General features: G+C 44.9%; 5 protein-coding genes and 1 further gene across 9 annotated transcripts in view; all 6 read right to left on the bottom strand.

Annotated features, from left to right (window-relative positions):
• The window catches only part of PCDHGA4 (protocadherin gamma subfamily A, 4), a 157,955-nt gene extending 153,795 nt beyond the window's left edge, over nt 1-4,160 (bottom strand). The window contains exon 1 of one of the 2 annotated variants that reach the window (NM_018917.4): nt 1,560-4,160. In NM_018917.4, coding sequence (NP_061740.2) covers nt 1,560-4,073 — 2,514 coding nt within the window. In that variant the 5' untranslated portion in view covers nt 4,074-4,160. Of the gene's footprint in view, nt 1-1,447 lie in introns of those variants that run through there. The other variant, NM_032053.3, reaches the window with a different exon arrangement.
• The window catches only part of PCDHGB1 (protocadherin gamma subfamily B, 1), a 162,877-nt gene extending 153,795 nt beyond the window's left edge, over nt 1-9,082 (bottom strand). Inside the window, exon 1 of one of the 2 annotated variants that reach the window (NM_018922.3) lies at nt 6,512-9,082. In NM_018922.3, the coding sequence (NP_061745.1) occupies nt 6,512-8,920 (2,409 nt within the window). In that variant the 5' untranslated portion in view covers nt 8,921-9,082. Of the gene's footprint in view, nt 1-6,487 lie in introns of those variants that run through there. The other variant, NM_032095.1, reaches the window with a different exon arrangement.
• Nucleotides 1-15,352, bottom strand: part of PCDHGA3 (protocadherin gamma subfamily A, 3) — a 169,147-nt gene extending 153,795 nt beyond the window's left edge. The window contains exon 1 of one of the 2 annotated variants that reach the window (NM_018916.4): nt 12,724-15,352. In NM_018916.4, coding sequence (NP_061739.2) covers nt 12,724-15,147 — 2,424 coding nt within the window. In that variant the 5' untranslated portion in view covers nt 15,148-15,352. Of the gene's footprint in view, nt 1-12,233 lie in introns of those variants that run through there. The other variant, NM_032011.2, reaches the window with a different exon arrangement.
• The window catches only part of PCDHGA2 (protocadherin gamma subfamily A, 2), a 174,216-nt gene extending 153,795 nt beyond the window's left edge, over nt 1-20,421 (bottom strand). Inside the window, exon 1 of one of the 2 annotated variants that reach the window (NM_018915.4) lies at nt 17,786-20,421. In NM_018915.4, coding sequence (NP_061738.1) covers nt 17,786-20,209 — 2,424 coding nt within the window. In that variant the 5' untranslated portion in view covers nt 20,210-20,421. Of the gene's footprint in view, nt 1-15,873 lie in introns of those variants that run through there. The other variant, NM_032009.3, reaches the window with a different exon arrangement.
• Nucleotides 1-21,846, bottom strand: part of PCDHGA1 (protocadherin gamma subfamily A, 1) — a 182,462-nt gene that overhangs the window by 153,795 nt on the left and 6,821 nt on the right. The gene's annotated exons all lie outside the window — the stretch shown is intronic.
• PCDHG@ (protocadherin gamma cluster) overlaps nt 1-21,846 on the bottom strand; it is a 182,295-nt gene that overhangs the window by 153,799 nt on the left and 6,650 nt on the right.

Below are 21,846 nucleotides of genomic sequence, written 5' to 3'. Positions count from 1 at the left end.
TTCTGCTCCCCAAGCCAGGTAACTGCATCATATCATATTCCAGCTTACTCTATGTATTGCACCACAACTTTCTATGAATACAAAACCATGTAGAAACTAAAACTCTCCTTTGTAAGTCAAATTGAGGCATATTCCACAGTCTATCACTACAACTTCCAGTTATCAAATTACACTAATTTGTGTAAGCATATGCATTCATGAATTTTGAATTCTCACAGAACCTAAATGAAAGCACAAAGAACAAAAGTGTTGTATATCCCCTACACACAAAATATTTTCCCTCATATAAAATAATCCCAGAGCCACATGATGACAGAAATATCTGAAAGCAATTTGTAGCAATAGGGATGAGGCCACCTTACTAAGCAGCGTAAATCATATCAGTCCAGAACCCAAGTAACTCAACCTTTGAAAGAGGCTCACATGATGACAAGAGAAAAGACTCCAAAAACTTATATTTTCCTTGGAAATCAAGAAAGTCTCAATAGTGATGTCATGATAAGCAATTTAAAAATTATTAAAGTTACTCCTAGAATCTACTTATATATGACTGAAATTAGCTTGGAAATATTTCTCATAATCACAGGAGTGCACCAGAGGAATCACACATAGTCACTTCTGGTGCATCTCAGAACAGCAACAAGAAAATATTTGAAATATACCAGTTCATTGAGAAAATATCCTGTTAAAGTTATATCTAAAAGTTAAACTCACAAATTGCCAGTATTCTTAAATTGACGTTGCCTGTTATAATGGAAAATACCCTTTCAAGGAAGGAAAAGTAAACTTCAAGCAAAGCATGGTAGAGTGTGAAAATAGGAAATTAAAAAACCCTCAGTCCAGATCCAACAATAGCTTCATGAGAAAGAATATTGTAAATGTGAATTTACACAATTGCCTTCTATTTTACAGGTCTCTTGTATCTTTTCAGGAACACCTAAGAGAAAAGGAAATTTATTCTTTATTTTACTTTATTTTATTTTACTTTTTGGAGACAGAGGCTTGCTCTGTTGCCCAGGCTGGAGTACAGTGTCATGATCTCAGCTCATTGCAACCTCTGCCTCCCAGGTTCAAGCAATTCTCATGCCTCAGCCTCCAGGGTAGCTGGGACTACGGGCACACACCACCACGCCTAGCTAACTTTTTGTATTTTAGTAGAGACTGGGTTTCACCATGTTGCCCAGACTGGTCTCGAACTCCTGAGCTCAGGCAATCCGTCCTCCTCACACTCCCAAAGTGTTAGGATTACAGGTGTGAGCCACCACACCCAGCACAGAAAAGGAAATTTAAGGAAATGAGGTGGCTCAGAGTTGTAAAATTAGAAAATTCTGGCTGAAACTACAACTGAATGAAGACCAAAAAGGATAAGTAATAAACAACATTTTTGTGTGGTAAATACTGTTGATCATTATTGGAAGGTCATCCACCAGTTTTCTTTAAAGCAATAAAATATTAAAAGAGGCAACTTTATTTGATATATTACATATAAAATGAGAGACATTTACACAACTCTTTGTCTATATTTCAGTGTGGTATGATCTATTATAAGATTGACTCACCTGAAGATTAGGGTCTCCTTTTGTTTCAAGTAAATCCTGAGTTATCAGAAGAGGCTCGCTTTTCTCACAACTCTCCCGGCTGATGAGCGTGTCTGCATAGCTGGGTTGGGAGAAGATCAGGTGACTCTTCCGCGAGTCCGCGGTGAGGGAGACCTCGTGGGAATAGGTCTGCAGGAAAGCCCGAACCCCGTCCACGCCCACAAAGTGCGAGGCAGGCACACCTGCCAACCTGCTGCCTTCAGCGTGAAGCAGGCGTGACTTGTGCCAGCGTCTCAGCTTGAGTGCTAGCAGCACCGTGACAAAAGCCAGGAAGACGCAGGAGACAGCGGCCACTGCCACCACGAGATAGAGTGTGAGGCCCGAGTCGTCTGGGTCTGCTGAAGGCTTGAGGCTGCCCAAGTCAGCCAGGACATCTGGGATGCTGTCGGCCACAGCCACAGTGAGTGTGACGGTGGCCGAGAGAGGGGGCTGGCCATGGTCCTGGACGACCACTACAAGCCTCTGCTTGAGCGCGTCTCTGTCCAGCAGGGCCCGTGCGGTGCGCACCTCGCCTGTGTGCAGCCCCACTGCAAATAGTCCCGGCTCGCTGGACTTGAGTAGGCTGTAGGACAGCCAGGCATTCTGACCTGAGTCTCTGTCCACTGCCACCACTTTGGTCACCAGGTAGCCGGAATCTGCGGAGCGGGGTGCCAGCTCCACACCAGTGGAGCCATCAGTAGGGAAGGTGGGGTACAGGATCTCAGGGACATTGTCGTTCTGGTCCAGCACAAAGAGGCTCAGTGACACATTGCTGCTGAGTGGAGGGTCTCCACTGTCACTGGCTGTCATCAGCAGCTGCAGGTCTCTAAACTGCTCATAGTCGAAGGAGCAAAGAGCATATAGGATCCCTGTATTGGAGTTGATGGAGACATAGGAGGACAGAGGTGCACCCTGGAAGGTGTCTTCGGCCAGGGAGTAAGTGATTCGGGCATTGTCACCACTGTCAGGGTCTTGAGCAGTCATAGATAAGATGGAGGCTCCTCTGGGGTTGTTTTCAGGAATGTAAGCAGAGTAGGAAGCATGAGGGAAAGTGGGTGGGTTGTCATTGATGTCCATCACTTGCAGTGAAATATGAGTTTCTGTAGACAGTGGAGGAGTTCCCTGGTCAGTGGCAGTTACAGTGATGTTATATTCTGAGACTTCTTCCCTGTCCAGTGTTCTGTGTGTCAACAACCGATAATAATTTCCATAGGTCTTTTCAAGTGTGAATGGCAGATTATCTGGAATAGAACATGTGACTAGGCCATTTCCTCCTGAGTCACTGTCATGCACGTTGAAAAGTGCAATTACTGTACCCGGGGAAGAAGATTCCTGGACTGAGCTGGTGAGAGATGTAACTGTGACTTCTGGTGCGTTGTCATTTTCATCCAGAACTGTCACCAGTACCTTGCTTCTAGCTCGGAGACCAGGCCCATCATGGGCTTCTACATCTATGTCATAGAATCCAGAGTCCTCATAATCTAGACCCCCCAATATTGTTATATCCCCACTCAGAGAATTCAACTGAAATAGCTGTGATATTTTGTCTCTTACTTTCCGGAAAGAATACGTCACGTCTCCATTGGCTCCTTCATCTGGATCAGTGGCTTTTACGGTGAGTAGCCGAGTGCCTACAGGAACGTTCTCACGAACACTTACGTGGTACTCGGGCTGAGTGAACACGGGAGCATTATCGTTGGTATCCACAAGTATTATGAGAATCCTGGCAGTGCCAGAGCGAACCGGGTCACCTCCATCGAAGGCCGTGAGAACGAGGTGGTGAACCGCCTCTTCCTCGCGATCTAGAGCGCGTTCCAGCACCAGCTCTGGGTACTTAATCCCATCGGCCCCACTTTGCACGTCCAGGGAAAAGTAACCGTTTGAGTTGAGCTGGTAACCCTGCAGGGAGTTTACACCTACATCCGGATCAAAAGCTTCAGGAAGAGGAAATCTTGCCCCAGGATTTTCATTTTCAGCAACTTTTATTTCCCTCTGTTCTGTCCCAAAACTGGGTGGGTTATCATTAACATCGATTATTTCCACCTCTACCCGCAAAATCTTCACTGTATCTTCTAGAAGAATCTCCAGGTTTGTCACACAGTTTGGAGATCTGTCGCAGAGCTCCTCCCTGTCTATCCTACCCGCGGTGACCAAGGTGCCGCTGCGCGGGTTCAGGGCGAAAAGCTGCGTCCTACCTCTGGAGACGATGCGGACTCCGCGCTCCGCCAGCTCCCGGGGCGCCAACCCCAGGTCCTTGGCGATGTTGCCCACCACTGAGCCTTCTTCCTGCTCCTCAAACACCGAGTAGAGAATCTGTTCGGCCCTGATTTCCACCAGAACCCCCAGGAGAAGGCAGATCTGGAGCAGCCGGGTGTGGTCTGGGCGAGCAGGAGGCGCCGCCATTACAACCCCGCCGCGGAGTCGCCTGTGCTTCGGTTTTCCCTCTGTCGAGGCCTGAGGAGCCCCAGGATCTTCTGGGTCCAAAATAAAGTGCATTCACAGCCAGAGCTCTCAGGGCTTCCGCTTGAAGCTTTCATAAAGCTCCAGAGCCAGTGCTTTGTGCTGCAGAAATCTTGTGATTCTGATTAAATTTCTGGTTTGTCTTTTCCCCCTGATTGGTGAACAGCGACACCCAGAGTCTTAACCTGTTACTGCAATTTATTCTTGGTTAAAAAAAGTTTATTTTTTATACACTTTTCTATTCCTATTTCTCCCAAGATAATAAAGTCAAATTCCTGTTTTTGATTTGCAATGAAAATTCAAGAATGATCCAAGTCTTCCTGTACAATAAACTTTATGAAGTTATTTATTTTCTTAGAGAAAATATGACGATTTTTTTCCTAAGATGTGTTCTTCCTCTTTTCAGTTTTCACATTGTTCATCCCCACAGCCCATTCTCAGTATAGCGTATTGTGTGAGGGACATAATTATCTCTCCTAAAGACAAAGGTGGACTTGAAAAATGGATGAGACAGATAAGTGAAAAGACAGTGGGACAGGAACTTGGAGGTCTGGCTTTAGTCCCAATTTATGCAGTAACAAGTTTCCTCACAGGAGTTGACCCTCTAGAACCTGGGGCAATGCTTCAATTCCCTTGCAAAAAACTCACCTACTGTTCAAGAGTTAGCCTTACCCTGTACAAATGAGATTGACAAATAGGATAATAGGTTTGGGAAGAGAATTTGCTCCTTAATTTTGTGTACAGTAGATTCTTGGCCACAAGCTATGCATATGACTATCTTGTTCACAATGTGTTCTCAATCTTTAGAACAATACCTTTCATAGAGTAGTAATTTTTATGAAACCTTTCAATGTTTCATGAATGACCAGTTCAAATGCAAAGCCTAAAACAATGGGTAAATAACTCTGATCTTAAAAATAAAAAAGAAATAAAAAGAAAAGTTAGACTGAATAACTATAAAGTGCAGATAATAGTTTAGTGATTTTTTCACATGACACATTCAGTATTATTTTACAATTTCTAACTTTACTTTAGCTCTCATTTTAGAAATAGCCAGTAAAAGGAAATGTTTTGGTAGCCGAACATGGATTATCATTGCATGTGCCATCGCTTTCTTTCTTATGAATACTTACAGTAATTTACTAATCTGTGAAAATTTGAGATAAAGCAGTACATCAGTTCTTAAGCTTATTCCTCACTTAACAATTAGCAGTAGAAATGACTCATACAAAAGGGCATTAGCTATACAGAATTTAAAAACCCTCAGACTTTGAGAGAGTAGATTAAACGTGTTTTTCACAATCCTCAAAGACCGCACAAACTGCGGATGATTGAGAGGTGAAATAAGATGTTTGGAAATAAATTTGACAGTATGCATTAAAAAAATCTCAACATGTTTATAGATTTAACTAATTCCTCAGAAATCTACACTAAAGAAACAAGAAGTATGGAAAACGCTTTATAAACCCAAATGTTCATTACATTCTTTGTTTTAATAGAGACAAAATAGAAAGAGCATAAAAACAAATAATTTAGGAATGGTTAAGAAAATTATGAAATATCATTGACTGAAATTATAGAGTGGGAATAATATTGACTCAAAGTTAGTGATGCAAATATAAAATTGGACAATATTTGCTACTTGTGATGAGACAAAGTGTTAAGAGTCTTAATAATTGGAAGGCTGTATTAAACATACATGTTGCTGCAAAAAGACAAACTAGAATGTAATTGATGAAGATTACATTAATTACATAATTACATTAATACATAATTACATCAATTACATAATTAATGTAATTGATGAACTTTAACTTGGGTGGGAAGAACTCTAAATACATTTATAAAGAGCTAAGAATAAAATGACTTGAAAATATAGTATTGCATATCAACTAAGAAAAGGCACTGCTATTACTAAGTGTTAACATCTAGGAAACAGGTCTCTTTAGCAAGATTTGCCAACCATACAGAAATGCCAACAGTAAAGATTGAAAATTAAATTGCCAAGACTACTGAGCAATCAAGAAAGCAATCTCCATCTATCTAGTACCCCCTCCCGCAGTAGATACCATCACTAGAACAATGAAAGAAAATCAAAATTACTTATACACCAATGAGAAGAAAATGCAATATATAATTTTTGTTTGTTTGTTTTTTTAGACAGTTTCCCTCCCATCACCCAGGCTGGAGTGCAGTGGCACACTCTTGGCTCACTACAATCTCCACCTCCCGGGCTCAAGCGATCCTCCTGTCTCAGCTTCCTGAGTAACTGGGACTACAGGCGCGTGCCACCACACCCAACTAATTTTTGTAATTTTAGTAGACCGGGTTTTACCATCTTGGCTATGCTGGTCTCAAACTCCTGACCTCAAGTGATCCACCTGCCTCAGCCTGGTTAAGTGCTGGGATTACAGGCTTGAGCCACCGCGCCCGGCCGCCATATATAAAATTTAACTAGATTTGCAGAAACTCACGTGCGAAGACAAAGAAGGGTCATAAGCGATTTTGTGATCTTCATTACTGGCACATACAACCATAGAAGGATCATCACACAGCAGATCCTGAGGGGGAGCCATTTCCGGTGTCAGGTTGAGAGAATTAAACTCTGTCTTTGCAGAATGAGAGGCAATACATAGATTGTAGGAATAGGGCAAAGTCCCCTCGCTGTGGTTGGGAGGAACCCCGGGCCCAGACTTGGAGCAGAGACCGGTTTGAAAGCAGCCCTCAGTGTCGAGGCTGGAGGAACGTCGCAGGCGCAGGGCGATCGCTAGAATCACCGCGAGGAGAAAGAGCACTGAGATCAAGGCCAAGGCCACAACCAGGTAAAACTGCAGTTCCGTCTGGGGGTCAGAGGGCTCAGGGCGGTCGCTGAGGTCTGGCAATACCTCTTGCAGGCTATCCGCGAAGATTAGGTGCAGCGTGGCGGTGGCGGAGAGTGGCGGCTGTCCTCCATCACGCACAGCGACCAGCAGGCGCTGGCGGGCCGCGTCCCTGTCGCCCAAGGCACGCGCTGTGCGCACCTCACCCGTGCGCAACCCCAGGCTGAAGAGCCCGGGCTCGCTGGCCTGCAGCACGTGGTAGGACAGCCAAGCGTTGTGTCCTGAGTCTGCGTCCACCGCCACCACCTTGGTCACCAGGTAGCCGGGCTCTGCGGCGCGTGGCACCATATCGAAGAGGGCGGAGCCATCAGGCCCCAGCGCGGGGTACAGCACCCGTGGCGCATTGTCATTGAGGTCGCCCACCAACACGCGCAGGCTCACGTTGGCGCTGAGCGCGGGGGAGCCCTGGTCCCTGGCCTGCAGTGTGAGCTCGAAGGCGCGCAGCTGCTCGTGGTCGAAGGCGCGCTGCGCGAACACCACCCCGCTCTGCGGGCTCACGGACACGTAGGACAACAGCTCCCGCGGCTCCAGGTCACTGGCCAGAATAGAGTAGGAGACTCTGCCGTTGGGTCCCAAATCCGGGTCGGAGGCGCTTACTTGTGCAATGGAGGCGCCAGGTGGGTTGTTCTCAGACACGTGGACCACATAGGAGGCCTGATGGAAAACAGGTGCATTGTCGTTGATGTCGGAGATGTGCAGGGTGATGCTTGTCCTGGAGGAAAGGGCTGGTTTGCCCTTGTCGGTGGCTATGATTGTGACGTTGTAGTCTGCTGTCTGCTCCCGGTTTAGGGCTCCAGCAATCACCAGCTTGTAATAATTCTTCGAGGTGGATTCTAATTTGAAAGGAACTTCTTCCTGAGTATAGCATGTCACCATGCCATTTTGCCCAGAATCCTTGTCTCGCACTTTTATGAGGGCTATTACAGTTCCAAGGTCTGAATCCTCTGGAATCTGGTTAGAGAAGGACATGAATGTCACCTCTGGGGCATTGTCATTCTCGTCAACAATTTCTATTTGAACATTACAGTGAGCTGTGTGTACTCCTCCATCCTTAGCTTCCACACTCAACACATATCTACTTGTCTCTTCAAAATCCAATGTGCCATTGGTTGTGATGTCGCCAGTATTTGGATTGAGATTGAAGAGGCTGGTACTTATTGGGGAATTGAGGAAGGCATAGGTGATCTCTGCATTAATGCCCTCATCCTGGTCTGTGGCCATCACCCGCAGCACGGAGGTTCCCCACGGTACGTTTTCTTGGAGGCTAACCCTGTATACCTCCTGGCTAAACACGGGAGCATTATCATTGGCATCCGTAACTCGGATCCAGATATGGGTGGTGCCGCTTAGAGGCGGGTCCCCGCCATCCATGGCAGTCAGGATTAAGCGATGAGAGCTCTGATGTTCCCTGTCTAGAGGTTTTTCCAGCAGTAATACCGGATATTTACTTCCATCAGGACTTTCCTTCGTTGACAGAGAGAAGTATTGATTGGGGTTGATGGTGTATAACTTCAGTGAATTGCCTTCCACATCTGCATCTTGAGCAGAATCCAGAGAGAATTTTACCCCGGGTAAGGCTGACTCACAAATTTCTAAGTCAATGCCTTTTGCAACGAAACGTGGTGCATTGTCATTAATATCTTGGATTACAACAACCACGTGGAAAACATTCATTGGGTTTTCAGCGACCGTTTCGAATTCTAGTGCACACTCAAGTTTCCTTCCGCAAATCTTCTCTCGATCTATCCTACCGTTCACTAACAAATCCCCGCTCTCCAAACTAACGTTGAAATAATCCTCTGCACTAACCCGCAGTTTTCGAGTTGGCAACTCCCGGACACTGAGCCCCAGATCCTTGGCAAGTTTCCCCACCCGTGAGCCGTTGGCTAGCTCCTCTGGAATCGTGTATCGGATCTGCTGGGAGATGGCCCCGCAGAACAAAGACAGCAGGAAGGGAAACAGTACCTGACTTTTCATCATTTCGGCTTCTCTGGCTCTCTGCATTTCAGGAACTCTCCGCGGAGCTTCTTTCCTCTGGGATGTTTTTCAAAAAGAAATGGCAGCACCCTGGACTTCTGTGATTTGAGCTTAGGACTTATTAGTTAGGCGCTCGAGGGTGAACAGGAGCAGCGTCTGTGCTCAGTGCACCGGACAAAGCAGGAAGGCACCCTGCCTGACGCTCCTGCAGAATTGAGAAGCCTTCACTTCCTTTTGGTCGACAGCGGCGCCCAGAGGTTGTCTTGGAAAACTGCACAGGGCCCAGCTTTTTATCCTCAAAGCGCAACCTCTTGAATCTATGTACCCTGTCTTTAATTTGCTGGAGGGAAACACATACTCACATTTTCCCCTTTACATTTCAGTTTTCTAGTTTGTCATCATCAGATAAGGGCCTTCATCATTTCGTATTCTTTTTTCATTTAAAAAATTCACAAGGTACACTGCCATTTTTTTCAGTTTTGGGGGTAAAAAAAAATCTTCAGTGATTTCACTATATTTATAAACTCTGGCATGACTGCTGTATCCAAATAAGTGAATTGATAATTTTTATTTATATTTTTAGTTGACTAAAATACCTACCTTTCTGTAAATTCATTGGAATAAGCTCCCTTATCTAGTATTTTAAATCTCTCCATATATATGTTATCAATTCAGTAATACTTTTCAAAAATAGTTTTTGCAAAAAAGAGGAAATCACAGCCTTACTATTATGTTATTTCTCTTCTTTATAAAATATAGATAATCTTTCCAGTTAAGTAGGACAAAGTCTGATATTTTGTTAAAAGGGCCAATTTAGTGTTGGGGTACACATACATGCTTTTATGAAGTGGAATCTCATATAATGTACATTTGTTTTATGAAACCAGTGCTTCTTTTTTATATGAATGTATATTAAATACTCTAGGCTGGGTGCAGTGACCTGTGATCCCAGCACTTTGGGAGGCCAAGGTGGGAAGAACACATGAGGTCAGGAGTTTGAGACTAGCCTGTCCAACATGGTGCAAGCCATCTCTACTAAAAAAAATAAAAATTATCCAGGCATGGTGGCGGGTACCTGTAACGCCAGCTACTCGGGAGGTTGAGGCAGCAGAATCACTTAACTCAGGAGGCAGAGGTTGCAGTGAGTTGAGATCATGCCACTGAAGTCCATCCTGGGTGACAGAGCAAGACTCTGTCTCAAAAACATTCTCTATAATGCCAATTCTCAGCTCCAGCCGACTTATACCATTAATGAGCAAAACGAGTTTGACTTGACCACTGGTAAATATTGGAGAGGTATTCAGAGTTCTTAGACACCCAATTTTGGAACTTATTCTGTAGTTCCAGGCTTAGAACCAGTCTTGGTTCAAAGCAAATCCCTTTATTTCAAATGCATTACCAAATGAGATCCAACTCAACAATTTATTCTACTATTTTGCAGTGCTCACCCATACTCATACTCTATTCGAAACAGCCTATTATCTGTTTTCTTAAGATACCTTTTCACTTGTTTCCTTGCATCATGCCTTTATACTTTCCATTCCTTTTACTATGAACTTCTCCTCCCTTTCTGTTGTAGTGGATTCTTGCCCATTCTTCAAAAAAATAAAAATAAATCCTTTTTAGTGAAAATGGGATGTCTGAGACCTTCCATTACCTGTACAAGTAGGTGGAATTGTATGGGTTCCATACTCTCAGTGTATTTTCATGACACATATGTAGGCTATGTTTCATATAGAATTCTTAGAAATTATCTTTGAGCATCCAAATTTCCCCTGACACAGCTAATTAATTTTTTTTCTCCTTACAGGGAAAGTGATACTAATACTATAAACATTTTTTTTTCTAAAAATGATATGTTAAAAGTTACGTGCCTTTTTCTTTTGAGACAGGGTCATGCTATGTTGCCCAAGTAGGTCTCAAAGTCCTAGGCTCAGAAGTCCTCCCCTGGCTATGGGCCTTTTAAATTCTGTGATGTATTTCCATGTTTCAGTGAGAATACACCTTACTCTGCTTACAGCTTTTGTGTTCTGGCCCTGTTGTCTCATACATTTAAATGTGCCTTTTCCTAATATATTGAGGGAGGAATCTATTCTTTTGTTTGAGTTCTAATAAAACATATTTTGGTCTAATTTTGGATAACTCTCATATGATTTCATGAGTGAAAATAATTTCATAAATTGCAGAATAAGCCAACAATTTCTGGCTCAAGAAAGTTGTAGAACATGACAAAAGAAGGGACTTCTATTCCATTGTTGGAAGAGATTGTCTGGAAATCTCCCGCAGAGGCTGAGACATATTCCTTTACATGTTTTTGATGTCCTTCTCAAGGACAAGAAATACCACTCCAAGGCTCATAATAATTTAGCTAGGTGAGCTTTCCACCCTCAGGCAAAATGTTGAAATCAAAATGAATACACACATAAGCATATACATTAGGCATATGTAACAGGCACTATAGGTAAAACCATTTGACCAGCCTCTACTTTTTTTTTTTTTTTGAGATGGAGTCTCTCTCTATTGCCCCAGCTGGAGTGCAGTGGCCCAATTTTGGCTCTCTGCAACTTCTGCCTCCTGGGTTTAAGCAATTCTTCTGCCTCAGCTTCCCAAGTAGCTTGGATTACAGGCGCCCACCACCATGCCCAGCTAATTTTTGTATTTTTAGTAGAGACAGGCTTTCACCATGTTGGCCAGGGTGTTCTTGAACTCCTGACTTCAAGTGATCCACCTGCCTCAGCCTCCCAAAGTGCTGGGATTACAGCATGAGCCACTGCACCCAGCCTCTACATTTTTGTTCTCCAATTTTTATGTTATTGAGATGAAAAGAATAACAGGCCAGGCATGGTGGCTCATGCCTCTAATCGCAGTACTTTGGGAGGCTGACGTGGGCAGATCACTTGAGCTCAGGAATTTCAGACCAGCCTGGGAAACATAGCAATTGCCCCATCTCTACAAAAACAAAAACAAATTAGCTGGGAGGGTGGCTCGTGCCTGTAGTCCCAGCTACTCGGGAGGCTGAGGTGGGAGGATCACTTGAGTCTGCGAGGTCAAGGCTGCAGTGAGCCGTGATCATGCCACTGCACTCCAGACAGAGTAAGACCCTGTCAAGAAAGAAAGAAAGAAAGAAAGAAAGAAAGAAAGAAAGAAAGAGAGAAACAGAGGAAGGAAGGAAGGAGGAAAGAGAGAGAGGAAGGAAGGAAGGAGGAAAGAGAGAGAGGAAGGAAGGAAGGAAGGAGGAAAGAGAGAGAGGAAGGAAGGAAGGAGGAAAGAGAGAGGAAGGAAGGAAGGAGAAAGAAAAAAAGAGTGTCACCTGTCTTGGAAGGAGTCAAACATCATTTAATTTCATGGGCATAAAATATCTTTTATTCATATGTATTTTTACTTGTATGTATCAGGATAAGCTATACAGGTTGGAATGACAAACTCCAAAGCACAGGGATTTAAAATGAAAAAGGCCTATTTATCACAGGTATACAAACCAGTGTTGTGTTTCTCTCATCATAGTTACTCAAGGACCCAGGTAGAAGGAGCAGTCACAATTTCAAATAGTAACTTAGAGATCTGAAAATTCTCACAGTGGCAGATTCCTCTAGGAAGTGACACTTTACTTTCACTCACGATGTATTATTTTTTCCCTAAGCCCACTCAACCATAACCAGACCGGGGAGTGCAGTCCTACTATAGGCCCAGAAAGAAAGGGGGACAAATATTTAGTCAAAGGACTAATGACAACCTCATGGCTTTATTTCTCAAATACATATGTGTTAAAGCTTTATAATAACCACATTCTCATATTTGTTCTTAATAATCAAAGAAATAAATAAACTCACCTGAAGTAGGTTGGAATCTCCTTTCATTTCAAGTAAATCCTGAGTTATCAGAAGAGGCTCGCTTTTCTCACAGCTCTCCTGGCTGATGAGCGTGTCCGCATAGTTGGGCTGGGGGAAAATCAGGTGGCTCTTCCGCGAGTCCGCAGTGAGGGAGACCTCGTGGGAATAGGTCTGCAGGAAAGCCCGAACCCCGTCCGCGCCCACAAAGTGCGAGCCGGGCGTACTCGCCAAGCCGCCTCCCGAAGCCTGCAGCAGGCGTGACTTGTGCCAGCGCCGCAGCCTGAGCGCCAGCAGCACGATGACGAAGGCCAGGAAGACGCAGGAGACCGCGGCCACCGCCACCACCAGGTACAGAGTGAGGTCCGAATCGTTGGGTTTGGCGGAGGGCTCGAGGCTGCCCAGGTCGGCCAGGATGTCGGGGATCCTGTCGGCCACGGCCACGGTGAGCGTGACAGTGGCGGAGAGAGGGGGCTGGCCGTGGTCCTGGACGGCCACCACGAGGCTCTGCTTGAGCGCGTCTCTGTCCAGCAGGGCTCGCGCCGTGCGCACCTCGCCCGTGTGCAGACCCACCGAGAAGAGTCCCGGCTCGCTGGCCTTGAGCAGGCGGTAGGACAGCCAGGCGTTCTGGCCCGAGTCTCTGTCCACCGCCACCACCTTGGTCACCAGGTAGCCGGGCTCTGCGGAGCGAGGCGCCAGCTCCACGCCAGTGGAACCGTCTGTGGGGAGGGCGGGGTACAGGATCTCGGGCGCGTTGTCGTTCTGGTCCAGCACGAACAGGTTCAGCGACACGTTGCTGCTGAGTGGAGGGTTCCCGCTGTCGCTGGCTGTCACCAGTAGCTTTAAGTCTCTAAATTGCTCGTAGTCGAAGGATCTCAGCGCGTATAGGACGCCAGTGTTGGAGTTGATAGAGACGAAGGAGGACAGGGGCGCCCCCTGGAGAGTGTCCTCGGTCAATGCATAAGTGATGCGGGCGTTGTTGTTGCTATCTGGGTCCTGGGCTGTCACTGAGAAGATGGAGGCTCCTCTGGGGTTGTTTTCTGGAATGTAGGCGGAGTAGGATAAATGAGGGAAGGTGGGTGGGTTGTCATTGATGTCAATCACATGCAGGGTGATGTGAGTTTCTGTGGACAGTGGCGGGCTTCCCCCATCTGAGGCTCTCAGACTAATGTTATATTCTGATATTTGTTCGCGGTCCAGGGATGTGGCCGTCACTAAGCGGTAATATTGATCTATTGATTTTTCTAACTTAAATGGCAGATTTCCCAGGACAAAAACTTCAACCTGCCCATTCTGCCCAGAATCTCGGTCATGCACGTCGATAAGAGCAATTTCTCTTCCAACGGTGCCCTCTTCTGGGACTGAGCTTGTGAGAGACGTGATTGTAATTTCTGGAGCATTGTCATTCACATCCAGAACCGTGACTAGAATCTTGGCTCTTGAAAGAAGACCTGGTCCATCCTGTGCTTCAATTTTAATTTCATAGAACATGGCATCCTCATAATCTAGACTTTTTAATATTGATACTTCTCCACTCACTGAGTTAAGATGGAAAATCTCAGCGATTTTCCCAGGCATTTTATCTAGAATATAAGACACTTGAGCATTGAATCCCTCGTCAGGGTCAGTGGCATTCACCGTGAGCAGCCGGGTACCCACAGGCACGTTCTCCCAAACACTCACACGGTACTCAGGCTGAGTAAACATTGGTGGGTTGTCATTTGCATCCAGGACTATCACTTGGATGTGCAAGTTGCCAGAGTGGACAGGGTCGCCACCATCAGAGGCAACCAGGACAAGCTGGTGAATTTCTTTTTTCTCACGGTCCAGGGCCCGCTCCAGCACCAGCTCTGGATACTTGGCCCCCTCAGAGACGCTATTCACAGCCAGAGAGAAGTAGTCATTGGGGCTAAGCTTGTAGTTCTGCAGGGAGTTAATGCCTACATCTGGGTCAAAAGCAGTTTTAATTGGAAATCGGGTTCCAGGAACCGTTAGTTCACCAATTTTTATTTCCAATTCCTCTGTTGGGAAATTAGGAGCATTATCATTAATATCTTTAATTTCTATTTCTACTTCAAAAATTTTCAATTTATCCTCAACCAGAATGTTAATTTTTACCAGACACAGCGGGATCTGAGCGCAGAGCTCCTCCCGGTCTATCCTCTCCGCGGTGACCAAGCTGCCGCTTTGCGGATTCAGAGAGAAAAGCTGCGTCCTACCTCTGGAGACGATGCGGACTCCGCGCTCCGCCAGCTCCCGGGGCTCTAGCCCCAGGTCGTTAGCGATGTTGCCCACGAAGGAACCTTTATCTAGCTCCTCAGACACCGAGTAGCGGATCTGACCGGATCCTGTTTCGCACAGCGTCCCCAGGAGCGCGCACAGCAGGGCCAGTCCTCTGCCATTTCGGAAACTCAGGCAATTGGTCATTTCCTTTTCGGTGAATCGCTTTCTCTGAATTCGGTTCCAGTTTCCTACGACGGACTCCAATCTTATTTTCTCAAGAAACGAAGTCTTTTACGGGCCTAATTCACAGGTCAAACAGCTGGTTGACTAAGAGGTGAGGTTGGCAGCCGCCCCGGATCTTCTGAGTCTGATTTGCTGGTTCTTTGCATTTTAGGAGCAAGGAAATGGTGGACTAGTTCTCCAGCTGCGTTCTCCTTCTTGAGTGGTCAACAGCGACACTAAGAGGCCTAACCGTTTACTGCATCCTCTCAGACACATTATTATTTTTGAATTATCCAAGATCTGAAATCCTTCTTGTCAGAGATAAGAGGACTAGTGTTGATTGAACATAATTGAATCGATATATGTTAAACAGTGTCACCTCAAGTTATCTTTCTTGGGAATCCATGCACTAACCTTAATGCCACCAATATTGCTTCAAACATAGTGGAGTTAACTTTTTTGAATTGTTCAGTTTAAGAAACACACAGTAACAAAGAACTGGCCGTAAGGACCAACACAACTATTAAAAGACATGACCACCACTTGTTCTTCCACCACTGAACCTTGATAATGTGTTTATTCTTATACTTACTACATTTATCAGGGTTATTTGATAAGATATCCACCTCCTCTTTGACCTTTCCCTCTCTATACTCTTAACTCTCTAAGAGCTGAGACAAGGAAAAAAAGAAAAGAAACACACAGAAATCAGCCATATTTATACATTATATTTCTTTAAGTTTGTTCTTGGTGACCTGATAACTTAGTTTCGATATTTGTTGTTATTTAATATTCATTAAACAAACACATAATTAGGCATCAGACAATATGTTTGGGGATTTAAGGTGAACAATATAGACACAGTAGCTTCCTTCACAGAGATTATAAGGATATAAAAGCAAACAGGGAATTGCAGTGTACTGAGATAATTACCATAATGGGAGAAGCCAAGGGGGTTAGGGGGGCCTTCAATTGGGCCTTTAATGTTAGCAAACGCTTTCCCAGGAAACATGAGAGGAGTGGATCAGTGAAAAGGCCTGGATGTGGGAGAGAACAGCATGACAATGCCTAGGTGTGAGAGAGAAATCACAGACCTTCAGGGTACTGAAAGAAGTTTCCTTTGTTTAAATCTAGACTGTAAGGATGTTTTTTCAAAACCAACTGAAACTAGTAGAAATAAGCTTTTATGTTCCAGAATCTCTTTCCCCATAAGTTTCCAAGCACAGAAATATAAATACAATATATTTGTCGTTTCAATCATGATGCATTACATATCTATGCATAAGACATTTATTCTTGTGGAGTTACTACACACACTAAAAATAACTTTGCTTTAATTTTCCTGTTTATACTTTATTATTCACTTACAAGTAAAGCTATTATGACATATTATTCCACAGTGAGTTCCAATTTTACTCATAGACAATTATGTAATAGTAACCAAAACAACACCTTGTCTCAGAAAATTTTTTCTTGATCAAATGCAACGGAAAGAATCACAGCACTTTGAGAAATATGGTATCATTCAATAAAAGGCTCAATTGGTACATGATAATTTTCAAATAAAAATAAAAAATGATGCCAGTTACATAGAACATTAGTGTGCTTATTATTCTCTGTTATTAAATACATAACCAACATACTAAAAGCCAATATAGGAAGAGGAATGGGAAAAGAAAATTGATCAGAGGGGCACTGGGATTGGGTGAGGGATTGGGAACATTTCTAGCAGCTATTGTGAGTAGAAACCTTGAGAAGAGAGATGTATAAAGAAGTTGGTTCTGGGCAATTGTATGATATGAATCTTTTGTATCTTTTCTTTAAGCAAAACTATATTGAGGATATATATTATTTTAAAGATTAAAATACAGTATGGTTCCCACGTATGAGAAAGATAAAAAAAAAGGAGAAACCTGTTTATTACCACTCTACAGCTTTATTATAGAGCAGATGATAAGTCAGTCACTTCTTCAAGAAGCATATAGCTTAGAGGTTAATGTGATTTTTAAAACTAAGCCAAAATAATATGACATACCTTCCTGAAACACTGTAAGGAATGTATATTTCTAAATTTCCATATTTTTAACAGGGAAGGGCATGCAAGTTAAGGAAAACAATTTTGCTGCCAAACTGAAAGAAATGTATTAAGACTGAATGAGAAAGAACTAGCCAACTAACATGTTTCACTGTTCATATACAGATTCAAATATAGAGTAAGAGTCATAACTTAAAAGAAGAAAGGACTTGAGTAAACATAAACTCCAATCTTTATATTTTTAACAAAGAAAAAATTGTTGATCTGGGTGGATGAGATGATTTGCCCAGGGATGGAGAAGAAAGTATAAGAAACCAGACACCCTAGTTCCTAATGCAGTGCTCTTTGGATAATCTTATCTATTAACTCCTGGTTTACATTCATTGCACAAAGATTCTCACGTCTCTTCTTCCTCTTACAGCCTGTGAACACTAAGACCTACCAAGAAATAATTCACCAAGACTCACTTCCTAAAACTTGACTCTACCCTCAAGGAAATATGGGGAACAAAATAGATATAGTAAACAAGTAAGTGAATTACTTCAGCAAACTAGCTAGTACGTATGTTGTGAAAAGATAGATTACCTGAGAAAACGTTTCTTCTCTTTCTTCTTCGAGTAGAGATTGAGGCGCTGATAAAAAATCCTTTTTCTCACAGCTCTCCTGGCTGATGAGCGTGTCCGCATAGTTGGGCTGGGGGAAAATCAGGTGGCTCTTCCGCGAGTCCGCAGTGAGGGAGACCTCGTGGGAATAGGTCTGCAGGAAAGCCCGAACCCCGTCCACGCCCACAAAGTGCGAGCTCTGCATGCCTGTCAAGCTGCCTCCTGAAGCCTGCAGCAGGCGTGACTTGTGCCAGCGCCGCAGCCTGTGCGCCAGCAACACGATGACGAAGGCCAGGAAGACGCAGGAGACCGCGGCCACCGCCACCACCAGGTACAGAGTGAGGTCCGAATCGTTGGGTATGGCGGAGGGCTCGAGGCTGCCCAGGTCGGCCAGGATGTCGGGGATCCTGTCGGCCACGGCCACGGTGAGCGTGACAGTGGCGGAGAGAGGGGGCTGGCCGTGGTCCTGGATGGCCACCACGAGGCTCTGCTTGAGCGCGTCTCTGTCCAGCAGGGCTCGCGCCGTGCGCACCTCGCCCGTGTGCAGACCCACCGAGAAGAGTCCCGGCTCGCTGGCCTTGAGCAGGTGGTAAGACAGCCAGGCGTTCTGGCCCGAGTCTCTGTCCACCGCCACCACCTTGGTCACCAGGTAGCCGGGCTCTGCGGAGCGGGGCGCCAGCTCCACGCCAGTGGAACCGTCTGTGGGGAAGGCAGGGTACAGGATCTCGGGCGCGTTGTCGTTCTGGTCCAGCACGAACAGGCTTAATGATACATTGCTACTGAGTGGAGGGTTCCCGCTGTCCCGCGCTATCACCCACACTTGCAAGTCTCGCAACTGCTCATAATCAAAGGAGCGCAGTGCATAGAGTACTCCAGTGTCGGAGTTGATAGAGATGTAAGAGGATAAGGGTGCCCCCTGAACAGTGTCCTCCGCGAAAGAGTAAGTTACATGAGCATTGTCGTTGCTGTCGGGGTCATGGGCCGTCACTGAGAAGACAGAGGCTCCTCTGGGGTTGTTTTCGGGAATGTAGGTGGAGTAGGATGTGCGGGAGAAGGCGGGTGCGTTGTCGTTGATGTCTGCCACCTGGAGCAAAATGTGAGCATCCGTGGACAGGGAGGGGTTCCCTCCATCTTTAGCGGTTAGAGTGATGTTGTAAAAGGAAAACTGTTCCCTGTCAAGGGCTCTGGTTGTAACCAGTCGGTAGTAATTGTCTACTGACTTTTCTAACTTAAAAGGAAGATCCTCGGGGAGTGAACAGGTGGTGAATGCGTTCTGCCCAGAGTCTCTATCATGTACATTAAAAAGCCCAATTATGGTTCCTGGAAGAGAGTCTTCAGAAACTGAGCTAGTAGCAGATGTCATGTAAAATTCTGGGGCATTGTCATTCACATCCAGAACCGTGACGATAACCTTCGCTCTGGTTAGAAGGCCCGGACCATCCTGAGCTTCAATATCAATTTCATGGAATGTAGCATCCTCATAATCTAGATCTTTTATGATTGTCAGTTCTCCAGATGTTGACTTAAGCTCAAATACCTCTGAGGTTTCTCCAGGGCTTTTCTCTAGAAAATATACCACTTGAGCGTAGTAGCCCTCATCTGCGTCAGTGGCGGTCACCGTGAGTATCCGGGTGCCCACGAGCGTATTCTCCGGAATGCTTATGCGGTACTCGGGCTGTGTAAAAACAGGCGCATTGTCGTTCGCATCCAGGACCTTCACGCAGATGCGGGAGGTGCCAGATAGCACTGGGTCACCCCCATCAGAAGCCACGAGAACGAGGTGGTGAACAGCCTCTTCCTCGCGGTCCAGAGAGCGCTCCAGCACCAGTTCTGGGTACTTGTTCCCATCAGCTCCCCTTCGCACGTCCAGGGAGAAGTGGTCATTTGGGTTGAGTGCGTACTTCTGAAGGGCGTTCTCACCTACGTCTGCATCATGCGCATTCTTAAGAGGAATCCGGAATCCTGGCGTAGTGGTTTCACTGATTTTTAGCTCCAGTTCCTCTACTCCAAAGCGAGGGGCATTATCGTTAATATCTGTTATTTCCACCTCTACTGAATAAATAGTCAATTTATCCTCCAGCAGAATGTTAAAATTCAACAGACAGGGTGCGCTCTGAGCGCAGAGCTCCTCCCGGTCTATCCTGTTCGCAGTGACCAAGCTGCCGCTTCGCGGGTTCAGAGCAAAGAGCTGGGACCTACCTCTGGAGACGATGCGGACTCCCTGCTCTGCCAGTGCCAGGGGCTCCAAACCCAAGTCCTTGGCGATGTTGCCTACGAAGGAGCCTCTGTCGATCTCTTCCCGCACAGAATAGCGAATCTGCCCGGCCCTGGCCTCCCACAGGGTCGCCAAAAGGAAGCACAGCAGGACCAGCTTTCTGCAGTGTGGCAACTTTTGCAGAGCCGCCATTTCCCTCCTGTCGCAATTTTCTCCGAGTCAACTTCCAGCATCCAGTGCGGATTCCAATCTTTATTCCTCAGGGTGTGAGATAACCAGCATTCACGGGACCCAGGTCCCTATGGAGAGAACTGGTGGGCTGTTCGACTGAATTTCTTTGGTGTCCTGAAGCTTTAGGGCCAAACCTCCACCCCCTTGTGCTGTGGGAGCCGTATTGCTGGATTGGATGTCTCGCTGCCTTTTACTCCTTAGGTGGTCAACAGCGACGCTCAGAGGCCTAAATAATTTCTGCACCTGCTCAGGAAAACCTAAGTTACTTCTTGTTTGTTTGCCTTTGTTGACTTTCAAGGCGCTTTAAAGAATCTTACAGCTCTAAGATACCCTAGAATTAGATCTTTCAAAACAGGAATCTTTTTATCAGGATTAATAAGAATGGTATAAATGAACATGATCTTGATAATAGTTGCTAGGAAAGTATTATTGACTGCTCAAGGCATTAATCAATGCCACCACTGCCCTTGCTCCAAACATCTTCCATCTCTTATTGTATAATCAGAAGCAGTAAGATCAATTAAGAAACGTTAGCTACGTTTTCTTCTAAGGTTATATATTTTGAACGTTTATGGTTGATGGCTTTGCATTTACCTTCAAAATCTGCCTTTAAATTATTGAATCATCAGACACTTAATTGGGTACATGTGCCTCCCACTTTGCATGATTGCAGCTGGAGCTAGAAATGGTGAACATGATAAACACAGGCCCTGGTCTCAAGCGTGAAGGTTGGAGGAGGACATAAGAAAGTAAAGAGAGTATAATAGAGTATGGTAACTGCTGTGATATGAGGTAGGAAACACTGGGTGATGGAGGAATACCTAGGAGGGGTATCCAGTCTAGATTTGGGGTCAGAAAAGTCTTTTTGAGGGCATGATTGAAGCTGAATCATAAAAAGTAGGATTGAATCAAGAAAAAGGCTGAAGAAGTGTTCTAGAACCTCTGAACAAATGCTTGAAGGTAAGAGACAGCATGGAACATTACAGAAACAGAAAGCAGGTCTATTTGATAAAGCTAGAGCCGGAAGGGGTTTTTCACCACACTAGGAATCAGTCACTCAAAATTGTTTGAGGTTGTCAAGTTCTTTTTCTGATATTCATTTTCCAAGGGTGTAAAATACAATGCAGTGGATGTCTTCTTACTCTTGTTTCATCTTTACCATTTTGACCATAGTCAAGCATACAATTCTGTGACATTAAGTACATTCAAATTACATTCTGGTGTGACCATTACCACCATCCACTTCCAGAACTTTTTCATCCTCCCCAACTGAAACTCTGTACTTATTAAATAGCAACTCCCCATTGCCTTTCACCCAGTCCCTGGCAACTACCATTCTACCTTTTTTCTCTATGAATTTGACTAATCTAGGAACTTCATATATGAGGAATCATACAGTATTTGTCATTTTATAACAGGTTTATTTCACTTGATATCATGTCTTTGAAGTTCGTCCATATTGTAGCATGTAACAGAATTCCCTTCCTTTTTAAGGCTAAATAACAGCCCATTGTATGTGTGAACCACTTTTTATTTACCCATTCATCTGTCAATGGACACTTGGGTTACTTCCACTTTTCAACTATTGTGACTAATGA

The sequence above is a fragment of the Homo sapiens genome, chromosome 5 (assembly GCF_000001405.40).
Source record: "Homo sapiens chromosome 5, GRCh38.p14 Primary Assembly".
Classification (NCBI taxonomy): domain Eukaryota; kingdom Metazoa; phylum Chordata; class Mammalia; order Primates; family Hominidae; genus Homo; species Homo sapiens.
Note: the sequence above shows the minus strand (reverse complement) of the source record. Positions and strands in the feature narration are given on the sequence as shown.